At 46.6% G+C, this 21,422-nt stretch overlaps 1 protein-coding gene across 11 annotated transcripts in view, besides 2 other annotated features; it reads left to right on the top strand.

The window, feature by feature from the left end:
* The window catches only part of ZFAT (zinc finger and AT-hook domain containing), a 354,552-nt gene that overhangs the window by 121,696 nt on the left and 211,434 nt on the right, over positions 1–21,422 (top strand). For 5 of the 11 annotated variants that reach the window (NM_001174158.2, NM_001167583.3, NM_001029939.4 and 2 more), the window contains exon 1: positions 14,089–14,213. The exons of the other annotated variants lie outside the window; for them this stretch is intronic. The gene's annotated coding sequence lies outside the window, so the exon portion shown is untranslated. Of the gene's footprint in view, positions 1–14,088; positions 14,214–21,422 lie in introns of those variants that run through there. 11 annotated transcript variants of the gene reach the window in all.
* Positions 533–1,216: an enhancer, noted in NCBI's record as "NANOG hESC enhancer chr8:135721671-135722354 (GRCh37/hg19 assembly coordinates)". NCBI's record gives its function as "activates a minimal SCP1, AML or CMV promoter by ChIP-STARR-seq in primed H9 embryonic stem cells {active_cell/tissue: H9 hESC(primed)}" and the evidence as "EXISTENCE:reporter gene assay evidence [ECO:0000049][PMID:30033119]".
* Positions 18,924–19,043: an enhancer, noted in NCBI's record as "active region_28019". NCBI's record gives its function as "activates an Ori minimal core promoter by ATAC-STARR-seq in GM12878 lymphoblastoid cells {active_cell/tissue: GM12878}" and the evidence as "EXISTENCE:reporter gene assay evidence [ECO:0000049][PMID:35858748]".

Here is a 21,422-nt window from a genome sequence, read left to right as displayed (position 1 = left end):
TGTATATGCAAATATTCCAAAATCCAAAAACATCTGGAATTCTAAAACTTCTGGTCCCAAGCATTTTGGATATGGGATCCTGAAACTGTAGTTTATTTGGGAATAATAGGGGATTGCAATTTAGATACATGCGCTATGCTGGATCATAGGTACGTCCAAAGAAGTTGGGGCAAATGGAAACTTTTAAAGACCCAAAAGGGAAGTCCACCTAAGCGGTTTTGAAACAAAGACCATTGGTTTCAGAGGTTTATTGCAGGAGCTGGCATTAGTCCATTGGAGACAGGTGCACCAGGCAAGTGTCCTGTGCAAGTAACAGGCTCTAAGGAATTCCTGGCATAGTTCCTGTCATAGGCATACTTGCATGAGGGCCCTTCCTTCCTATCCTCTGGCTCCATTTTGTTAGAGTTTGACATGAGTGACTCCATTTTGATAAACGTGAAATATCTTTTCGATTGGTGCCTTCCTCCTCCCACGTTGTTGCTTATATAGAGAGAATGAGTTGCCCACTTCTCCACTTCTGGAATTTACCCAAGAGTTTTAAAAAAGAACCCTGGACATATGTTGAAGTTTCCTTCAATTTCCAGCTGTACCAAATGAGAAAAGATCATATTTTAAAATGTGTTACTGTCAACTCATGGTCAGCTAATTTCTGAAAAGAGTTTCCTGTTTTGGTTAATTTAGGAAAGGGAGTACAATGAATGATAAGGAGGTGGAGTTGCATGTGGTCTACAGGGCACAGCTGTAGGTGGCAAATGAGCTGAGATGGTCATTGTGTGAATTGGAGCCGTCTTACCGCAGTGCTCCCTTCTCAGTGGGCTTCTCATTTGCCTCCGGTGAAAGGATTCCTGTTTCTTTTCTCCCCATACCTTGCAATTTACATAACTTTTGCAAGATAGCTATTGTTAAGTAGAATTAAGCTCTTGCCTAGAGCAAGGGCAGTCAAGAATCAGATATATTAAAAAGTCTCCTTAATTGCATTTCCCTTTGTAGATAGTTTCAAGCATACAGCCTCTGAAAAACTCTGCACCAAGATGGGCTGATTTAATTACGTAAAAGAGATTTAGCCTAGAGTTAAGTTTTCCCTCTCTTCTCAGCTGTTTACCCTGTTAAAGTTTCACTGATTTGCAATTTCTCAAGGGCAGGCATCAACTTTAAGGGCTGGAACATTTAGGAGGGTAGAAAGAGCACGTGCTCTGGCTCCAGAGATCTGCCTCTCACCAGATTCCTGACCTAAGGGAAGTCACAGAACCCTTGGGACCCCAGTCCCTTCACCGGCAAAGGAGACACAGTCCTGCCACAGGTGGCTGCTGATGGCATTCAGGAAATGGGGTTTGTCTCTTCCCTTCCCAGAACCAGACTTCCCAGTGTACAGCTCAGTACATTGTCATCCACTCTCTTCTTGAAAGCATTTGTGGATGGAAAGGCAGAGACTCCCAGGCTCAGGCCACCCTCCCACATCAGCCTCCTGAATAGCTGGGACTACAGGGGTGCACCACCACACCTGGCTAATTTTTGTATTTTTTGTAGAGATGGGGTGTCACCAGGTTGACCAGGCTGGTATTGAACTCAGCCTAAGAGATCCACTGGCCTCGGCCTCCTGAAATGCTAGGATTATAGGCTTGAGTCACTGTGCCCAGCCGAGTAATTTTTTTTAAATAAGTCATTTTTAAAAATTAAATTAAATTAATTTATTGGCACGGAGTTTTGCTCTTTGCCCAGTCTGGAGCACAATGGTGTGATCTTGGCTCACTGCAACCTCTGCCTTCTGGGCTCAAGCGATTCTCCTGCCTCAGCCTCCCAAGTAGCTGGGATTATAAGCATGCGCCACCACGCCTCGCTAATTTTGTACTTTTAGTAGAGGTGGGGTTTCACCATGTTGGTCAGGCTGGTTTCCAACTCCTGACCTCAGGTGATCCGCCTGCCTCAGCCTCCCAAAGTGCCAGTATTACAGACGTGAGCCGCTGTGCCTGGCCGAGTAATTTTTTTTTAAAAGAGAAAAGAAAAAGCAGAGCAAAACAAAATAGACATTTTAAACATCTTACAGATTTAAAGTTGCCTCCTTTTTTTTCAAGGAACACAAAATATATAGATGATTGAGTTTACTTATAAAGATAATGCTTGGCATATTTATAGAAAAACACGGACTTAAAATTGGGTAACATAATCTTTTTTTAAATTAAAAAAACTGTAACGACATATTTGTTTCTTTACGGGGTATAATGTGATGTTATGATTTATGAGTATAATGTGGAATAATTAAATCAAGCTAATTAACATATCCATCAGCTCAAATAGTTATCATTTTGTGGTAAGTAAACATTTAAAATTTACTCTTAGCAAATTTGAAATGTACGTTATTACTGTATTCACCATGCTGTGCAATATGTCTCAAAGAAAAAAACGATTCCTCTTGTCTAATTGAGGCTTTGTAGCCTTTGATCATCATTTCTTCCTACACCTTCAGGCTCTGGTACCCACCATTCTACTCTCTGCTTCTTTGAGCTCCATTGTTTTAGAGTTCACATGTAAGAGAAAACATGCAGTGTTTGTCCTTCTGTGCTGGCATATTTTACTTAGGACAGTGTTCTCCAGTTTCATCCATGTTGTCACAAACGACAACATTTCTTTTTTACAGCTGAATAATATTCCGTTGTGTATATGTCCCACATTAAAAAAATCATTCATGTGTTGTTGGCCACTGAGGCCGATTCCATACTTGACTATTGTGAATAGCACAACAGTGAACATGGTTCAGTCATTCCTTTCAATATACTGGTTTCAAATCTTTTGAGTTATTTTAAATCATGTAATACATGGAGCTGCAAAAGGTGGAACTCTGGAATCGGATGCCTTTGTGTTCAACACAGTCTGATCAAGGCAGGATGGGTGGGGTAGGGACCTGGCCTTAGAGGATGCCAGTGGAAGCTGCGGGTTGTCTGAATAAGAAAGGGGCAGCATCCCATAGTGGGCAGTGGGGGAAAAGAGGACCAGCTCAGCCATGGGACCTGGAGCCAAGGACCAGGAGAGCTTGGGGTGTCCTGGCATTGCTGGAGGGCATTTTAATTCAGCCCCAAGACTTCTTGTAGGGCTCTAACTGGCTTCTTTCTTAGTGTTAGATATTCTCCTTGTGTCCCTGCTGGTGGGCCTCTTCTTCAGGAGTGGCTACCATTTCTCTGCCCCTTAGGGTTATTATTATTGCTTATTAATTTTTTTTTTACTATTAGGCTGGTCATCAGTTTACCTAGATGTTTATGCCAAACTTTGTGCTGTTTGCTAGGCATGCAAAGTCCAATATGACATGTTCTTTCCTCTTGAGGATTTCATGCAGTCCTGGCAGTGGAAAACGGATTCCTGTAGGAATGGGTCTAGGTGCTGTGATGGAAGTAAGCCTTGAGTATTGAGGGTTTCAGAGGGGGTGCATCTACCCCAGCCCCAGGGATTGTGGGAAGGCTTCCTGAAGGAGGAGATGTTTTGAGCTGGGTCTTGTAGGGTGAGCAGAGGTGCCCTGTAGAAAGGACAGCTGGTACAGTGACACAGGTGTGACCCACCCTTTGTGACCAGGTGAGCACTGAGTTTGGGGAGGGGCATGGGGTGCTGGAGGTCTGTGATGAAGGGCCTTTGAGTAGTGGGAAGCTGTCAGGACTTTATCTTGGAAATGTTGAGGGACAGGAAGATAACAAGGCTGGCTAATTAGCCTTTCAGAAAGAAAGATCTCTGGCAGCTGCCAGGAGACAGGTTTTTTCTTTCTTTCTTTTTTTTTTTTTTGGCGTACTATATACATGCTGAAATGCATAGACCTTAAGTGTAGAGTTTGACCACTCACATAACCCACACTCCTAACAATATACAGAACTTTTTCATCAGCCCAGAAAGTTTTCTCTTGCCCCTTACTATCCCATCCCTGCTCCTCACCCCAAGCAACCACTAGTCTTTTTTTGTTTGTTTGTTTTTGAGATGGAGTCTTGCTCTTGTTGCCCAGGATGGAGGGCAATGGCACGATCTCGGCTCACTGCAACCTCCTCCTCCCAGGTTCCAGCAATTCTCCTGCCTCAGCCTCCCGAGTAGCTGGGATTACAGGGGGATACCACCACACCTGGTTAATTTCTGTATTTTTAGTGGAGACGGGGTTTCACCATGTTGGCCAGGCTGGTCTGGAACTCCTGACCTCAAGTGATTTGCCCACCTCGGTCTCCCAAAGGGCTGGGGGTTACAGGCGTGAGCCACCACTCCCGGCCGCAACCACTAGTCTTGATGTCACCATAGATGAGTTTCTTCTTCTATAGAACATCATATAATTCTTTTGTGTCTGGTTTCCTTTATTCAACATAAAGCTTCTGAGATTCAGTAGTTTGTTTCTTTCTGTTGCGTGGATACAGCCATAGTCTATTTCCAGTTTTTCGTTATTGGGAATAAAGCTGCAGTGAATGTTCCCGTACAAGCCTTTTTGTGGATATTTATTTTCATTTCTTCTGGGTTAATAAGTACATAGGAGTGGAATTTCTGGGTTATAGAGTAGTTATGTTTATCTTTTTAAGAAACTTCCAAATAGCTTTCCAGAGTAGTTTGTATCATTTTACATTCCCATCAGCAACGTCAGAGAATTCTGCTTGCTCTCTGTCCTCACCAGCATTTGGTGTTGTCAGTCTTTCATTTTGCCTTCCCTAGAGGATATGCAGTGGTATCTCCCTTAATTTGCATTTCCCTGATGACCAATGATGTTGGGCATTTTTTCTTGTGCTTATTGGCCATTTGTGTCATCTTTAGAGATGTGTCTATTCAAGTCTTTGGGCTATTTTAATAAATTGGGGGCTGGGTGGTAGCTCACGACAGTAATCTCAGCACTTTGGGAGGCCAAGGCGGGTGGATCACCTGAGGTCAGGAGTTCAAGACCAGCTTGGCCAACATGGTGAAACCCTGTCTCTACTGAAACTTAGAAAAAAAAAAAAAATTAGCCAGGCTTGGTGGCTCATGCCTGTAGTCCCAGCTATTCAGGAGGCTGAGGCATGAGAATCGCTTGAACCTGGGAGTAGAGGTTGCAGTGAGCTGAAATTGCACCACTGAACTCTAGCCTGGGCAACAGAGTGAGACTTGGTCTCAAAAAAAATTAAAAATAAAAAATAAATTGGGGGCTGAGTGTGGTGGCTCATGCCTTCAATCTCAGCATTTTGGGAGTCTGAGGTGGGAGGACTGCTTGAGGACAGGAGTTCAAGATTATCCTTGGCAACATACAACATAGTGAGATCCCAGCTCTACAAAAAAAAAAAAACAAAAAAAAACCAGCTGGGCATGGTGGTGGATGCCTTTGGTCCCAGCTAATCAGGAGGCTGAGGTGGGAGGATCACTTGAGCCCAGGAATTCAAGGCTGCAGTGAGCTGTGAACATGCCATTGCACTCCAGCCTGGGCATCAGTGAAACAGTTTCTCTAAAAATAAATAAATAGGTAAGTAAATACATAAATAGGGTTTATTGTCTTTTTGTTGCTGGAATGTAAGAGTTCTTTATATATTCTGGATATTTGTCTTTTGTTGTATATATGTGTGTGTGTGTATGTTGTGAATATTTTCTCCCAATTTCTGCTTACCTATTTGTCTTTTATCTTTTGATGAACAGAAGTTTGTGATTTTATTGGAGTTTTATTTGCCATTATTTTTACATTTATCGGAAGTGCTTTTTGTATCTTCTCTTAAGAAATGTTTTCCTACTTTAAGGTCCAAAGAAAATCTCCTAAGTTTTTTTGTTTTTTTTTTTAAAGGTTTATATTTCTTGCTTTTGTTAGGTCTACTGTCTATCTCTAATAAGTTTGTGTATGGTATGAAGTAGGGATGGAGAATGTTTTTTTCTTGCACGTGGATATCCAGTTTTTCTAGCCTCATTTGTTAGAAGAACCTTTTCTTCCTCCATTGAGTTACTTTGGCTCTTTTCTTGAAAATTATGCATCAGTTCACTCCTGAACTGTCTGGTCTGTTCCATTGCTCTATTTGTTTATTCTTTATCAGTACCACACTGCCTTGATTACTACAGCTTTATAGTAATTTTTGAAGTATAAAGAATAAGCAAGAGAACACTTTTTGGAGGGACAAAAGTGCAGGCAGGAGAGTTTCATTAGGTGCTGTCCTAGTGCAGTCCAGGCTGTAGGGATGAGAAGGGACAGATTTAGAGAAATAGTTCAGAGAGGAAGCCCCTGGGACTGGTGAGGGCTTGGCTTTTACCTTAGGGACCTGCAGGCATTCCATCCATGTTTGTTTCTAGGGGAAGAGGAATGGTGAACATAACAGGCTCAGGGACATGAAAACTCTGCAGGTTTCCTACGTGCAGCCCTGGGTCTGTAATCTTCAATTTCCTCCTGTGGTGGTAGAGAGAAGCATCTTTTGAATTCTGCCTGTTTTTGTTTCTGAGTTGGTGCAAGGGGCTTGTTCAGGGCTAGCCAGGTTCCTGGAAGCATCTTGGGAAGACCCTTCCTCGGGGAGAGAGCCCCACAGGGAACCAGGCTCAGGTAATGCAGGGAAAAGGGGCCCTGGGGGGAAGCAGAACTGGGTGAAGTCCTGGTCCTGCTGTCTAACAGCCCTGGGACCTTGGCAAGTATCTTGAGTCACCATTGCCTCCTATATTATATATTACATGAAAATGGTCCCCACAGACCTATTTGGTAGCATGCTCGTAGAGTTTTCATAGAGGAGGATTGGGAACATACCTGGCATATGGCAGGGGACTTTACTCTTTTCCACCATCTGTTTTTTCCTTCTTTCCCTCTCCTCTCTTCCCCTTCCATTCTCCCTCTGTCAGTCTTCACCTTCTTTCCCTGAACATTTTATCACTTTTAATAGTATCTGGGAGAATTAAATGCATGAGGAGGGATTGGATCTAATCCCTCATGCAGTTGCAGGGGAATAAGATAGGGTCTGGTCATAACTATCATTTCTGTAGACCTGCTCAGTCAGGTGCTTCACACCCATTCTTTAGTTTATTCTTCACAAAAGCTCTGCAAGGTGGGCTTATTATCTCTGCTTTCCAAGTGAGGATACAGAAGCTCAGGCTGGTCCCTGTGGCTGTCCAGCCCCACTCAATCTCTCCCTAGTGCTACTGGCCATCTGTGCTTGCTGATGTGGCCATGAACATCTCTGAAGTGCCTGCTGTGTGTGAGGCCCTATCTGGGCTGCGTGCAATGGCCAAGGCATGAGCCGTTAGGTGGCCACACAGCACTACTCACATATCCTCTATGGGAATGGTACTCCCAGGAATTAGGCATTGAGGGGTCCTTGAGACCTGTTCTGAAGGAACTCGTAGTCTGTAAGGCAGACAAAACTAATTAAAATGAGCAAAAGGTTTGAAAGATACTTTAACAGAAGAATGTATAAAAATGGTCAATAAATGTATGAAAAGATGCTTAATATCACTAGTTCCTAGGAAAATGCAAATTAAAATCACAATGAGACACTACTACGTACCCACTAGAATGGTAAAAATTAAAAAGACAATCCCAAGTGCTGATAAGGATGTGAAGCAGCTGGAACTTTGATACATCATTAGTAGGAATGCAAAATGGTACAGCTACTTTGGAAAATAGTTTGCTGGCTTCTTACAATGTTGAAGGTACACTTATATATTAGTCTGCTTTCATGCTGCTGAGAAAGACATACCCGAGACTGGGTAATTTATAAAGAAAAAGAGGTTTAGGCTGGGTGCGGTGGCTCACGCCTATAATCCCAGCACTTTGGGAGGCCGAGGCCGGCAGATCACGAGGTCAGGAGATTGAGACCATCCTGGCTAACATGGTGAAACCCCGTCTCTACTAAAAATACAAGAAATTAGCTGGACGTGGTGGTGGGTGCCTGTAGTCCCAGCTACTCGGGAGGCTGAGGCAGGAGAATGGTGTGAACCCGGAAGGCGGAGCTTGCAGTGAGCCGAGATCGCGCCACTGTACTCCAGCCTGGGCGACAGCGTGAGACTCTGTCTCAAAAAAAAAAGAAAAAAAAAAAAAGAAATAGAGATTTGGTGGACTCACAGTTCCACATGGCTGTGGAGGCCTTACAATCATGGCAGAAGGCAAAAGGCACTTTTTACTTGGGGGTAGGCAACAGAGAATGAGAACCAAGTGAAAGGGGAAACCTCTTATGAAACTGTCAGGTCTCATGAGACTTATTAACTATCATCAGAACAGTATGGGGGAAACAGTCCCCAAGATTCAATTTATCTCCCATTGGGTTCCTCCTACAACGTGTGGGAATTATGGGGGCTACAATTTAAGATGAAATTTGGGTGGAAATGCAGCCAGACCATATCAACTTACCATAAAAGGTAGCAATCCTATTCCAAGAAAAATGAAACCTATGTCTATCTGAAGACAGGTATGCACATGTTCATAGCAGCTTTATTTGTAATAGCCCTGTCTTAGTCTGATTTCTGTTGCTTATAACAGAATACCTGAAGTTGGGTAATTTATAAGGAAAGGAATTTATTTCTTATAGTTCTGGAGGCTGAGAAGGCCAAGGTCAAGGGGCTGCATCTGGTGAGGGCCTTCTTGCTGGGTGGGTACTTTTTGAAGAGTCCCAAGGTGGCACAGGGTATCAATGGCAAGGGGCCGAGTTTGCTAATGTACTATGATCAGGACTCTTTTCCTCTTCTTATAAAGCCACCAGTTCTACTCCCATCATAACCCATTAATCCATTAACTCTTTAATTCATTCATGAGAGCAGAGCCATCATGGTCCAATCACATCTTAAAGGCCCCACCTCTCAGCAGTGCCACATTGGGGATTAAGTTTCAACATGTATTTCTGGAGGGAACATTGAAAGCATAGCAAGCCCCAAACTGGAACCAGCCCAAATGCTCATTAGCTGGTGAATAGCTAAACAAATTGTGGTATATCCATACAAAGGAATACTACTTGGCAATGAAAAAGGATGAAAAAGTGATGCAGGCAACAACCTGGACTAATCTCAAGGTCGTATTAAAGAAGCCAGACACAAAAGACAACATACTTTGAGGATGGGAGAAATTAGAACCTTTGTTCACTGTTTGTTGGAATGTAAAAACAGTGCAGCTGCTGTGGAAAACAGTATGGAAATCTCTCAAAAAATTACAGATAGAATTACCATGTGATTTAGCAACTTCGCTTCTTGGAATATATTTCCCAAAATTGAAAGCAGAGTCTCAAAGAGATATTTGTATACCCATGTTCATAACAGCATTATTCATAATAGCTAAAACTTGGGAACAAACTAAGGGATGAAAGGCTAAGCAAAATGTAATGTATACATAGAATAAAGTATTATTCAGCCTTAAAAAGGGTGGAAACCTGACACGGGCTACCACATGATGAACCTTGAGGCCATTGTGCACAGTGAAATAAGATAGTCACAAAAAGACAATTACCAAATGATTACCCTTACATGAGATTCCTAGAGTAGTTAAATTCAAAGAGACAGAATGTAGGATGGTGGTTGCCAGGAGCTGGGGGAGGAGGCATCCGGAGTTAGTGTTTAATGGACATAGAGTTTCGGTTTTGTAAGATGAAAAATTTCTGGTGATGGATGGTCGAGATGGTTGCACAACAATGTGAATGTATCTAATGCCACTGAACTGTATACCTACAAATAGTTAAGATGGTACATTTTATGTGTATTTACCATAAACACACATTTACATGGGGGTGGGGGGTGAGGGCACTGACTGAAGAGGCACCGGAAGCTTGGTGTGGGCACTTGGGACTGGTCTGTGTCTTGACTGTGGTGATGGCGACACAACCCTGTCTCTCGATTTGAACTTACTCACTTGTACAAGGGTCGCTTGGGCAGTGCCAGAAGCTTGTACAAGGTAGAGTAGGGGGATCAGTGACATGGTCACTGCCAGTCACTTCTGCCTGGGCTGGGCGAGGGGCTCAGGAAAGCCACAGGATGATGTTTGAGCAGAGTGACCAGGCCAAGGGGATACAGCAGGGGGCAAGGCAGGGAAGCATGAGGGAGCCCGACAAGGTACGCAGCCTCTGCCTCCCCCCGGACTGGCCAGAGCTCCTCTGAGGTGGGGTAATCACAGCCCGGAGTCCGACAGTGAACTTCCAGGTCCGTGTGCATTCTTTGTACAGGGGTCAGGCCTGAGCTGCCGAGCACTGGGGTGGAGGGAGGGGAGTGTGCTCAGCCGGCTGCTCTCCTGCTGGAGGTGCCAGCACTCTGGCTGAGCCATCCAGTAGCCTCTGGCTTGTGAGGCCCTGCCCATGTCCTGAGTCTCTACCTCCATTGGCAGGGTCAACTCCCCATCCATCTAGCCTGCCTTTCTCTCCTCTCCTTGGCCTTGCTTCTTGCTGAGTTGGGTGTTTGTGGGGTCCCCCACCTCAGAAATGTGGGCTCTGGGAAATAGCACTGGCTTTGGAGTCCCGGAGACCTAGCTTTGCATTTTAGACCAACAATGTGATAGTTCTTGTGACTTCTTTGAGCCTCAGTTTCCATTTCTACAAAACTGTAGCTAAACATGTCATCTGAGGATTTTATTCTCTGAAGAACCAAATCAGGTGAGGTACACACTGGACTGGCTGGTGCTCAGGAAGTGTTTTTGAGGTGATCTTGAGAGTTCTTGCTGAGCAAGCCCACGTTGAACTCAGTGCCTAAGACTCCATCAGAGGCAGCTTGCAGCTTTTCAAAGTCTGTCGGGGAGTATCACTGCCTGACAATGCACAGGACTTGCAGCTGTCCTTGGCCCCACTGCCTGTATGCCACTTAGCTCCCCACGGGTGCGTGCCAGCCTTCTGCCTGAGCCGAGGCTCCTGCCCCGGTGCCTTGTCCATCCCGACAGCATGAAGCTCTAGCACTCACGTTCTTAACCACCAGAGAGGTTATCTGCAATCATAGCTTCCACCGTGTCCCAGTGCTGTGTGAGGTGCTCTCCAGCCATCGTTCTCTGCCAGCGTAACTGCAGTTCTCTCATGTTGGGATATTATCTTTGATTTACAGACAAATAAACGGAGGGACAGAGAGGTTTGGTCACATGCTGGTAGGTGGTCCAGCCAGGATTTGAGCTTTGGGCTGTCCAATCCCAAACCAAACTGTGCTCTTTTCAGGCTACTGAGTGGACTCCATCACATTTCTTGAGCACCTGGGCCGTCAGCTCTTCCCACCCTACCTCATTTAATTTAATGAGGACCCAGGGAGGCAGATGCTGTTATTGCCATTATACAGATTAGGAAACGGGCTCAGCAGGGCAGAGTCATGGCACAGAGTCCACTCCTCACTAGGAGTGCAGCCAGACTCACCCAGGTCAGTGTGGTCCCAAAGCACAGGTCTTTATACCTGCAGGCTGTGGGTTAGCTCCTTTTATTTCCTCTATTGTCATTGCTTTCATGTCTCTGTTCCTTTCCCTCTTTGAGCCTTATTGTTCCTTAGAGATTGATAGAAGCATTTCATACTTTGGGGTTATTAACCCTTTCCTGCCAGAGTTTGCTGTTTGCCCTTGTGGTGGGTTTGACCTGCTCTCAGGTGTGGACCCTGGCTTTATCCTCAGTTCCCTACGCAATGCGGGGAGGGGGTGAGGGGCAATGATTAAGATCATTGGACTTTAGGGAAATGTGGGAATATAGAGATACAGTTGCAGAAATACAAGGTGCCCTGGAACACCAGGCTTTGATTCTGCCTTTTTAATGTTGATCTCACTCTCCTCTTCTTCTCTTTCTCCTGCTCTAAATTTTTAGAAGACAAAGTAATCAAGAAAAACATTCTGTACTTTTCCTTTTTAATCTCCTTTGGTCTTTGCTCTCTAATGGGAAGACTATGTAAGAAATGCCCACAGAAGGGCTTGAATTGGGAAAAGAGTTTTGGTGATGGGAACTGATGGCTAGACATCAGGTAGGCAGGAACATTGATGGGATTTGGTGACTGCTTCTTGGTGCCCTTCCAGGGGAGGAGTCAAAGGTGAGAGGGTGGCCAGGAGGGTGCTGTGCCCTGGATCCCTGGGGGTGTCCGGGAGGCTGGTTCTGTTGAGTGGGAGGAGAGTTCCTCTTTGGGACACAGTGGCTTTGACGATTCACCTGACCGTCTGACGCTTCTACCAGAATGTCCCAGGGAAGAGGGGGCATGAGCGATTTGTGTGGGGCATGGTGTTTGGAATTCTTGGATGCAAGGAACATAGATTTGATCAGGGCATTCTTTATTATTGGTCATATTATTTTAGTTCAGAATTCTTTAGCAAGACTACTGGAGTGTCTGAATAGTTGGCTGTCCGGCGCTGTCAGGTTCCCCCGCTGCCTCTTCTGGGCATGCTCTCTATCTCTTCTGCCTTCCCTTGCCTCCTTCTCCTTCTGCTATTATTTAGGTCATTCTTTTTTTTTTTTTTTGAGATGGAGTCTCGCTCCTTCACCCAGGCTGGAGTGAAGTGGCGTGATCTCAGCTCACTCAGCTCCACCTCCTGGGTTCAAGCAATTCTTCTGCCTCAGCCTCCAGAGTAGCTGGGACTACAGGCATCTGCCACCACGCACAGCTAATTTTTTTTGTATGTTTAATAGAGACGGGGTTTTGCCATGTTGGCCAGGCTGGTCTCGAACTCCTGACCTCAGGTAATCCACCCACCTCGGCCTCCCAAAGTGCTGGGATTACAGGCGTGAGCCACCGCACCTGGCCCCAGTTGGGTCCTCCTTCTGCGTGTTCCTGACCGGCCCTGGTGGCTCCCTTATCCCAGGGCTTTTGGAGTTTGCTGTGTGTGCAGTCTGAGCAGGTAGGAGGGACTATGTGACATAGGGGTCTGTTGCTCAGCACTGAGCATGTTAAATATTGTTGTACTGGCTGGGTGCGGTGGCTCACGCCTGTAATCCCAGCGCTTTGGGAGGCCGAGGCAGGCGGATCACTTGAGCCCAGGGATTTAAGATCAGCCTGGCCAACATGGTGAAACCCCTTCTTTTTCTTTTTTTTTTTTAGTTTTTAGTTTTTAGTTTTTTGAGATGGAGTCTCGCTCTGTCGCCCAGGCTGGAGTGCAGTGGCGCGATCTCGGCTCACTGCAAGCTCCGCCTTCCGGGTTCACGCCATTCTCCTGCCTCAGCCTCCTGAGTAGCTGGGACTACAGGCGCCCGCTACCACGCCCGGCTAATTTTTTGTATTTTTAGTAGAGACGGGGTTTCGCCGTGTTAGCCAGGATGGTCTGGATCTCCTGATTTCGTGATCCGCCCACCTCGGCCTCCCAAAGTGCTGGGATTATAGGCGTGAGCCACCGCGCCAGGCTGGTGAAACCCCTTCTCTACTAAAAATACAAAAAAAGGTGGGCGCGGTGGCTCACACCTGTAATCCCAGCACTTTGGGAGGCTGAGGCGGGCGGATCACAAGGTCAGGAGTTCAATACCAGCCTGGCCAAGATAGTGAAACCCTGTCTCTACTAAAAATACAAAAATTAGCTGGGCATGGTGGCGGGTGCCCGTAATCCCAGGTACTCAGGAGGCTGAGGCGGATAATTGCTTGAACCAGGGAGGCGGAGGTTGCAGTAAGCCGAGATCGTGCCACTGCACTCCAGCCTGGGTGACAGAGCGAGACCAACGGAGTGAGACTCCATCTCAAAACCAAACCAAACCAAAAACAAACCAAAACAATTAGCCAGATGTGGCGGTGGGCACCTGTAATCCCAGCTACTCTGGAGGCTAAGGTGGGAGGATCGCTTGAACCTGGTGGGCGGAGGTTGCAGTGAGCCGAAATGGCGCCACTGCACTCCAGCCTGGGCGACACAGCGAGACTCGTCTCCAAAAAAAAAAAAAAATTGTTGGATTAGTTTCCTGACTGATGGCAGCTCAGAACCTTTAATATGCCTGAGAGAGATACGTAGAGTCCAAGTTTTTCTAGACGCTGGGCGCTTCTCGCCTGCAGCCTCCTGGGACTGGAGCGGGCTCCCAGAGACCTAGGAGGGACCCCTGCTGGGTGGGGGCGGCTACCAGCCTCAGGCCACACCCCCTCGGAGTGCTGGTTGGTCTGTGGATGGTGTCATGTGCTCATTCTGGGCCAATCAGAGCCTCTGTGGCGGCAGGATGCCCTGTCCCACCTGGGCAGGGCTGTGGCTGTATTGGAGAGAAGCGCGGGTGGGTGGTGCCAGCCAGGGATAACTAGGATGGTAGGGCTTCCTGGGAGAGTGCAGGAGTCTGAGAAGAAAGGGTGTAGATGGAGAGGCGGTGGCCTCACCTCTGCATGCTCCGTGGGAAGCGGCGGAGGCGCCCAGCATCCCTCCTACTCTGCCCTTGGTGGAGGTTTACGAGGTAATTCTCCCGATGCGAGTTTCCACTCTGAACTTTCCTGTTGATTCCTGGGTGGTTTCAGAGGTGTCTCGGCTGTTCTCCACTCCTGGTCGCCTATAGCAACTCCTGGCAGGAACGCTGTACTGCTTTGCAGGGTGGCCTGGGACTCAGGGGCTGCCTTGGTTGGCTAGAGATGCGGCCTGGGTCTGGGGAGCCTCCTTGCTTAGAGATGGTCCGCGCCTGGCGGTGGCACCTCCTTGGTTAGAGATGGGGCCAGGGCCTGGGGGTGGCACCTCCTTGGTTAGAGATGGGGCCAGGGCCTTAGGGTGGTGCCTGTTTGGTTAGAAATGCGGGCAGGGCTTGGGGGCAGCTCCTCCTTAGTTAGAGACGCAGGCAGGGCCTGGGGATGGTGCCTCCTTGGTTAAAGACCTGGGTGTCTAGAGGGTGGCACCTTATTCGTTAGAGATGGGACTTGGGCCTGCGGATGGGCTCCTCCTTGGTTAGAGATGCGGGTAGGGCCTGGGGGCAGCGCCTCCTTGGTTAGAGATGCCGCCTGGGCCTGGGGGTGGTGGTACCTCCTTGTTTAGAGAGGCAGGCAGGGCCTGGGGGTGGCGCCTCCTTGATTAGAGACGCAGTCAGGGCCTGGGGGGCGGTGCTGCCTTTGTTAGAGATGGCCGAGGCCTAGGGGGTGGTGCCACCTTGGTTAGAGATGCGGGCAAGGCCTGGGGGCAGCGCCTCCTTGGTTAGAGATGCTGCCTGGGCCTGGGGGGGCGGTGCCACCTTTGTTAGAGATGACCCAGGCTTGGGGAGTGGCGCCACCTTGGTTAGAGATGCGGGCAGGGCCTGAGGGCAGCGCCTTCCTGGTTAGAGATGCCGCCTGGGCCTGGGGGTGGTGGTGCTTCCTTGGTTAGAGATGCAGGCAGGGCCTGGGGGTGGGGGCGGTGCCGCCTTTGTTAGAGATGGCCCAGGCCTGGGGGCTGGCGCCATCTTGGTTAAGATGGCCGGGCCTGGAGGGTGTCGCCTCCTTGGTTGGAGATGGCCGGGCCTGGGGGCGGCGCATCCTTAGTTACGGACGGAGGGCCTGGGCCTGGCAGCCGGGGAGTGGCTCTTGCCTTTCAGAGACAAAGATGGAGAGAGCAAGGGGTGTGGGATTTGCTCAAGAGCATGGCCAGGGGCCCTACTGGGAGCAGAGCCGAGGCTTCTCACTTCTCAGAGCGTCTGCGAGGGCCTTCCTGGCCGGGGTGCCTCCCGGGGAGGATGTGGACGCAACCCCCTTGCCCTGGGTCTGGAGTGAGCTCCTCCACTGCAGCCTGGGCCATGGTTAGTTCGTCCTCCTCTGGCCGCTGCCTTCTTCTGGGTTCTCCCTGCCTGGCTCCCTCCCCTGAAGCCCTGAGGCCCATCAGTTTGCGGTGCGACCATCCTGCTGTGGGCATGAGAATCCTCCCTTTCCCAGGTGACTTCATTTTCGTGTTTTTTTTCCAATGTGGAGATGTCTTTTGAGAACTAATTTTCCAACTTTAAAAAATGAAGACCTTAGATATATAATGAGGCAACATTTAGGGAGTTGTAGTTATAGTGATAACTACGGTAATGGATTTGATTGCTTTTTCTATTTAATACTCCGAATGTCTTCTAGGGAGAAAGGCTTTGGTTACATGGACACCTTTTATTCTTTGAGCCAACTTGATTTGAGGATTCCAATGGGGAGGGGGCACAGGAACACACGAGAGCTGAAGTTTCTGCAAGTAAAAGACCATGGATCTGGAGCTTCTGGAGCCTTTAGAGAGGCAGGGAAGATCCAGCGATGGGGAGGAGAGGCAAATGAACTAGGAGGATGGCTAAATGGAGCCTGTTGTGTGTTGACCTCTCCTTGAGATGCTCAAATACCGAAGGCATGTTGGATGTAGGGTTTGTTCTCATTTAACCTGTTATTATGACATAATTTATACTTACAGAAAAATGGAGAGAGTAGTACAAAAACTTTTCATATGCCCTTCACTCAGTCTCCTGAGTGTTAGTATTTTACTACATTGCTTTGTCCTCTGTCTCAGCCATTTGGGATAAAGTTGCAGAGCTGATGCCCCTTTGCCTATTCCTAAGTATCTTCGGTGTTTATTTCCTAAACACAAGGACATTCTCCCACATAACCACATTTCAGTTATCAAAGTGAGAAACAGCATCAGTGTAGCGCTCCTCTTGAGATGTCACTGATTGTCCCAGCGACACCCTTTATGGCGGAAGGACACCTCAGCCACGTGCCTCATTCCAGCGTCTTTTTTATGGCGGAAGGACACCTCAGCTGCGCCCCGCGTTCCAGCGTCATGTCTCTTCACTCTGAATGTGGAGCGCTGCCTCTGGCCTTGTGTTCCAGGACATTGATATTTTTGTGGAGTATGGGCCAGTTATTTTGTAGACTCTACCTCCCTTTGGCTGTGTGTAATGCTTCCTGGTGAGTGGATTTAAATTCTGCATTTCTGGGCAGGAATTGCGCAGAAATAATGCTGCGTTCTCAGCACACCATAGCAGGAGACACGTGATCATGATTTGTCCCATTGCTGGTGATGCTACATATTTGAGAAGGTCAGGTTTCTTCACTGTAAAGTTACTGTATTTCCCCTTTGTAATGAAATGCCTTGTGGTGAGCTATTTGAGACAGTGTGTTTATCCTGCTACTCCTCACTCCAAGGACTTTCTTCATTCAGTAGTTTCAGCACCCATTGATGATTCTTGCCAGACTTGGTTAGCATCAGGATGGCTGCTACGTGATGGGTGTCTAATTCCGTCATTTCTTCCGCATTTACTAGTTGTCTTCTCCCACCCCCCGCGCCCCGTTTTATTGAGGTATAATTAACAAAAATTGTATGTAAGTAAGGTATACAATGTGATGCTTTGATACAGGCATGCATTGTGAAATGATTATTACAGTCAGCTAATTCACATAGCCGCACCTCACATTGTTACTATTTTGTTTTACTAGTTGTCTGTGTAAGGAAGAACGTTCTCTTTTCCTTTATTTATATTTGTGTAGACTCAGGAATGCTTATTTTAGTCAGTGGTCTGTAATCTTTTCTCATTGTTTAATTTGGTGCTCAGATTGCCCCATATTTGGCCAGTTGTGTTAAAGTGGGCCTTTGTATTCCTTCAGCGTGCCCCCGCTTTTGTGAGGACTTCCTTACTTCTGGTACAAGAGATTCTGGGCTCATTTTCTGCTTTCCCTGTTCCAGCTCTGGAATCAACTATTTCTACAAGGAGACCTGGTTTCTTTTAGTGGAGAGTGGCATTTAGAAACGGAGATCTGGGAACTAGGTGAGCTGGGTGTCATTGCCTCTCCACCCTCTCAGAAACACAGCTAGGAAACAGAAGTATGTATGTACATATACGAGACATACATGTATCTAAATTCAAGACACACCTACACAATCTGTATTTCCCTCTTAAAAATCATTGAGTTCACATGGATTTTTCCAGTTGCAATTCAACAGCACAGTGTATTCTATCCTCTCTCCTTTCCATATTGATAACTCCCTTCTCTGACAAAGAAAAATCTGGATCTCACTATCCATAATATAGTTACTTATTTGCTCAGTCCTGGACTATACTAAAAATAGTTTCAGAATCAGGAAACCATGTCTTTGTGAAAAAGAAGCCTGCTACCTAGAGTTCAGTATTTAATTAGAGCTCTTCTTCTCTTTAGCCCGAGGCATCTGGTGTAAACAGCAGCTTCCAAAGTTACTTGGGTTGATCGTCTCCTATTTCAGTGCAATTATGGTTATTCATTTAAAGTATGGTTTTGTTCATTTGTTTGTTTGTATTTTGTTTTAAGATTTCCTCCCATACTTGTTTATTGTATTTACTTTCATCCTTTGACTAGGTGAATTTTGGAGGTGAGCGTATTTCAGTGAAAGGACTGAGTTTCGCTTCTTTTTGTTTGTGGGGCATGAACAGAGAATGGCAGAGGCCTGAGGGTGTAAGTTTCCAGGAAGGAGTAGAAGTCCTGGGCGGCCATGGCCCTGAAGGGACTTGCCCCATTGAGGTAGGGCTGGGGCGCACCTGCTGACACCTGGATTCTGAAACCCTTCAGCGAGAGTCTTTCTTCCAGTGCTTTGTCTTGGTTCTGGTTTCTCTTCCTTCAAATCACCATTCTGATTTGCATTTATTCCCATTTTATAGATGAAGAGTCAGAGAGTCAGAGAAGTTGTGTTTTCTCCTCTGCTGGGGATTGGACTGGGGGCTTTCCCACCCTGAGCCTGATCTTTCTTCCTTGGCACACCATCTTCCTTTTCTAGAAAATGAGCGTTAAGAATGACTTAGTTCAGGCCGGGCACGGTGGCTTACGTCTGTAATCTCAGCACTTTGGGAGGCTGAGGTGGGAGTTCGAGACCAGCCTGACCAACATGGAGAAACCCTGTCTCTACTAAAATACAAAATTAGCCAGGTGTGGTGGTGCATGCCTGTAATCCCAGCTACTTGGGAGGCTGAGGCAGGAGAATTGCTTGAACCCAGGAGGGTTCAGTTAGTTCAGATTATTCTCAGGGTTTCTTAAGTGAACACTCTGGAAATGTTCTGGTCTTCATGATAAAGGAAATGCAGGTAAATATCTTTTATAGCTTTAACATGGATCTTTTAAAGCACTTTACTATATTTTGAATTAAATGATATTGATGATTTTGGAGCTTACAATCTATTGAGGGAGACAGGTTAAACCAATAAGCACAGCATTAAATACATGATTACAAATCGTGGTCATATTACAAGGCAAATAAGCAGGAGGGAGTACCAGAGACCTCATTAATATTGAAGGGGATTTACGAAAAGTCTCTCTGAGAAAGCTAGGATGGAGCTGAGACTTGAAGAATGAAGTTCCTGAATTAATAAAGTCTGAAAACCAGCGAGCAGGTGCTTGCTTACCCGTCCTCCTCACCTTGCAAAATTGCAAGCCTGCAGGCCAGAACAAGCTGCCCTGTGGCCAGAGTTCTCGTTTGTCTTTTATCGCCCCCTAGGGGACATGTGTGTGAATGGACCTGCTACAGGTGGCTTGGGAGACACTGTGTCCGTGGAGGCGCCCGCTGCAGCGGAGACTGGCCTCCTGGCCACCACCTGAGCCCCGCCTGAGCATGGGGCTGAAGGGCCAGGATGCCAGGCCTGCAGGAGAGAAGACCCAGGGCCACTGGATAGCTTGTTCAGATGCTTACAGCACTTGGCTATGGGAGGGACTGGCCTTGCCAGGGTCACCCTGAGGCTGTACTAGCCTAGCATGGTGAGGGAAAAGGGGGGCAGCCTTTCTGTGGCTCCCAGTGATGTAAACACAGGTGGCAGCTGACCACAGTGATGCCTCTGCATCGAGGGGAGGGCCAGGTAGGACTTTCTGACCTTGTTTGGATACAGGCTGGGAAGCTGGACTTGGACACTCTGTCCTTTCCAACAGCAAGAGTCTACAAAACTAGATTATAAATAACACCACAGTCATGTAAAATTATTCTCATGAACAAAATGGAATTGCTTATTTATGTTCCTGGTGGGGAGAGTCTGTGTCTTCCTCATTTCTGATTGCACCTAGCATGGTGAGTGACAGATGTCAGGCATTCATTTAGTGTTGAATTATGAGGCCAATGCACATAAATTCAAAGAATTCTGCTTTTTTCTCCTAATAAAAACTGAACAGCCCAGATATTTGGAGAATACATTAAATATTTATTTTGTATTTTGGTTACCAGGAAAAATGGGCCAGATCATTTTGGTAGGCTGGGGATGGGTTGAGGGGATGGTTTGGAGAATTCTTCTTTTCCCAGTGTCTCTCCTTCCTTAAATTTAAAGCTCTACTCTGGAATTTGGAAAGACCCTAGACACATGTAAATACTAGGGGGAAGTTCATTCTTCAGGATTTAATTTGAAAATCAGAACATTTTATATAACTGAGCCCAATATAACTGAGGCCAATCTCAGACTTTCATAAAGCGGACATTTGGAATTGAAGTTGTATGTTTTCCACATCTGCCTCCAGTTCCTGCCCAGCCTGTTATTTTATCTCCTTGATCAAGACCTCAGGATCCCTGAGCACACAGTCAGCTTTTAAACCTGTGACAATAATAAATGAAAATATTCGTCCGTCATCTGCCTCTCCTGTAACAGTGCGGACAGGGACTTGGTCTGCAGGTTCTAAGTCTGCTAATTCTTTGTCTCGATTTTCCTAACTCTTGAATCTCAAAGAGTTTGGGGGTGGTGGAAGCCTTCTCCTACCCCGCTGGAGGTCAGGGAGTAGAACCTGTGTATTACATTTCTCTCGTCTGCAGGGAAAAGTTGCCTGGTATTCTGGAAATAATGTGAATACTGGGTTCATGCCTAGTCCAAACTTTGATGTGCTGTAGGTGAAAAATAACACACTGGCTGTTGAAGACTTAGTACACAAAATTTAAAATTTCTCATTGATCTTTGAAAATAGATTGTAAGTGAAATGATTCTATTTTGGATATACTGGGTTAAAGAAAACATCATTAAAATTATTTTTTCTTGATTATTTTATTTTAATATGGCTACTGGAAAATTTTAAATGACATCAGTGGCCATGCTGTGTATCTGTTGGACAGCAGTGGCCTGGACAAAGCATCCAGCCTCTTGCCCCGTGCTTTCACAGGCCTGGGCTGGAGTGTGTGTCCTTGTGCAGAGTCACGCATCTGTCCGTGTCCTCCAGTCTAGGAGGCGTCCCTGGTGGGGGCCATCTCCAGGAATAGTGCCTAGTACCTTTTAAGAAAAAAGTAGCTGTTGACTGAATTCGGCCTTCTATATTGTTTTCAAGCCTGTTTCACCTGGTAGATTGAATACCTTGACTGCTGGAAATGCTACTTGTTTTTCTCTTTCATGGCTCCCTCTGCTCTCTATCGTAGTATGCGAATCACATCTTTGTTGAATTAAAACATCCCTGAATTAGGGGAAGGAGGCTGGGTAGAGTCAGCATTTCTAAGGACTTGGGTTTTGTCTGGCAGGAATTCTCACCCACCATGGTGTTGATGCAGGGCAGGTTCTTGGCTTCGCTCAGGAGGGAATTCAAGAATGAGCTGCCGGTGGTAGTAGAAAACAGCTTTATTGAGGCAGTGACAGTGTTACCGCTCCTGTGGAGCAGGGCTACCCCGTAGGCAGAGCGCCAAGAGTAGCAGTGCTTTGCGGCCAAATTTATACCCACTTTCAATGACGTGCTAATTAAGGGGCAGATTATTCAGAAATAGCTAGAAAGTG

The sequence above is a fragment of the Homo sapiens genome, chromosome 8 (genome assembly GCF_000001405.40).
Source record: "Homo sapiens chromosome 8, GRCh38.p14 Primary Assembly".
Lineage (NCBI taxonomy): Eukaryota > Metazoa > Chordata > Mammalia > Primates > Hominidae > Homo > Homo sapiens.
This window is presented reverse-complemented; position numbering and strand designations above follow the sequence as displayed.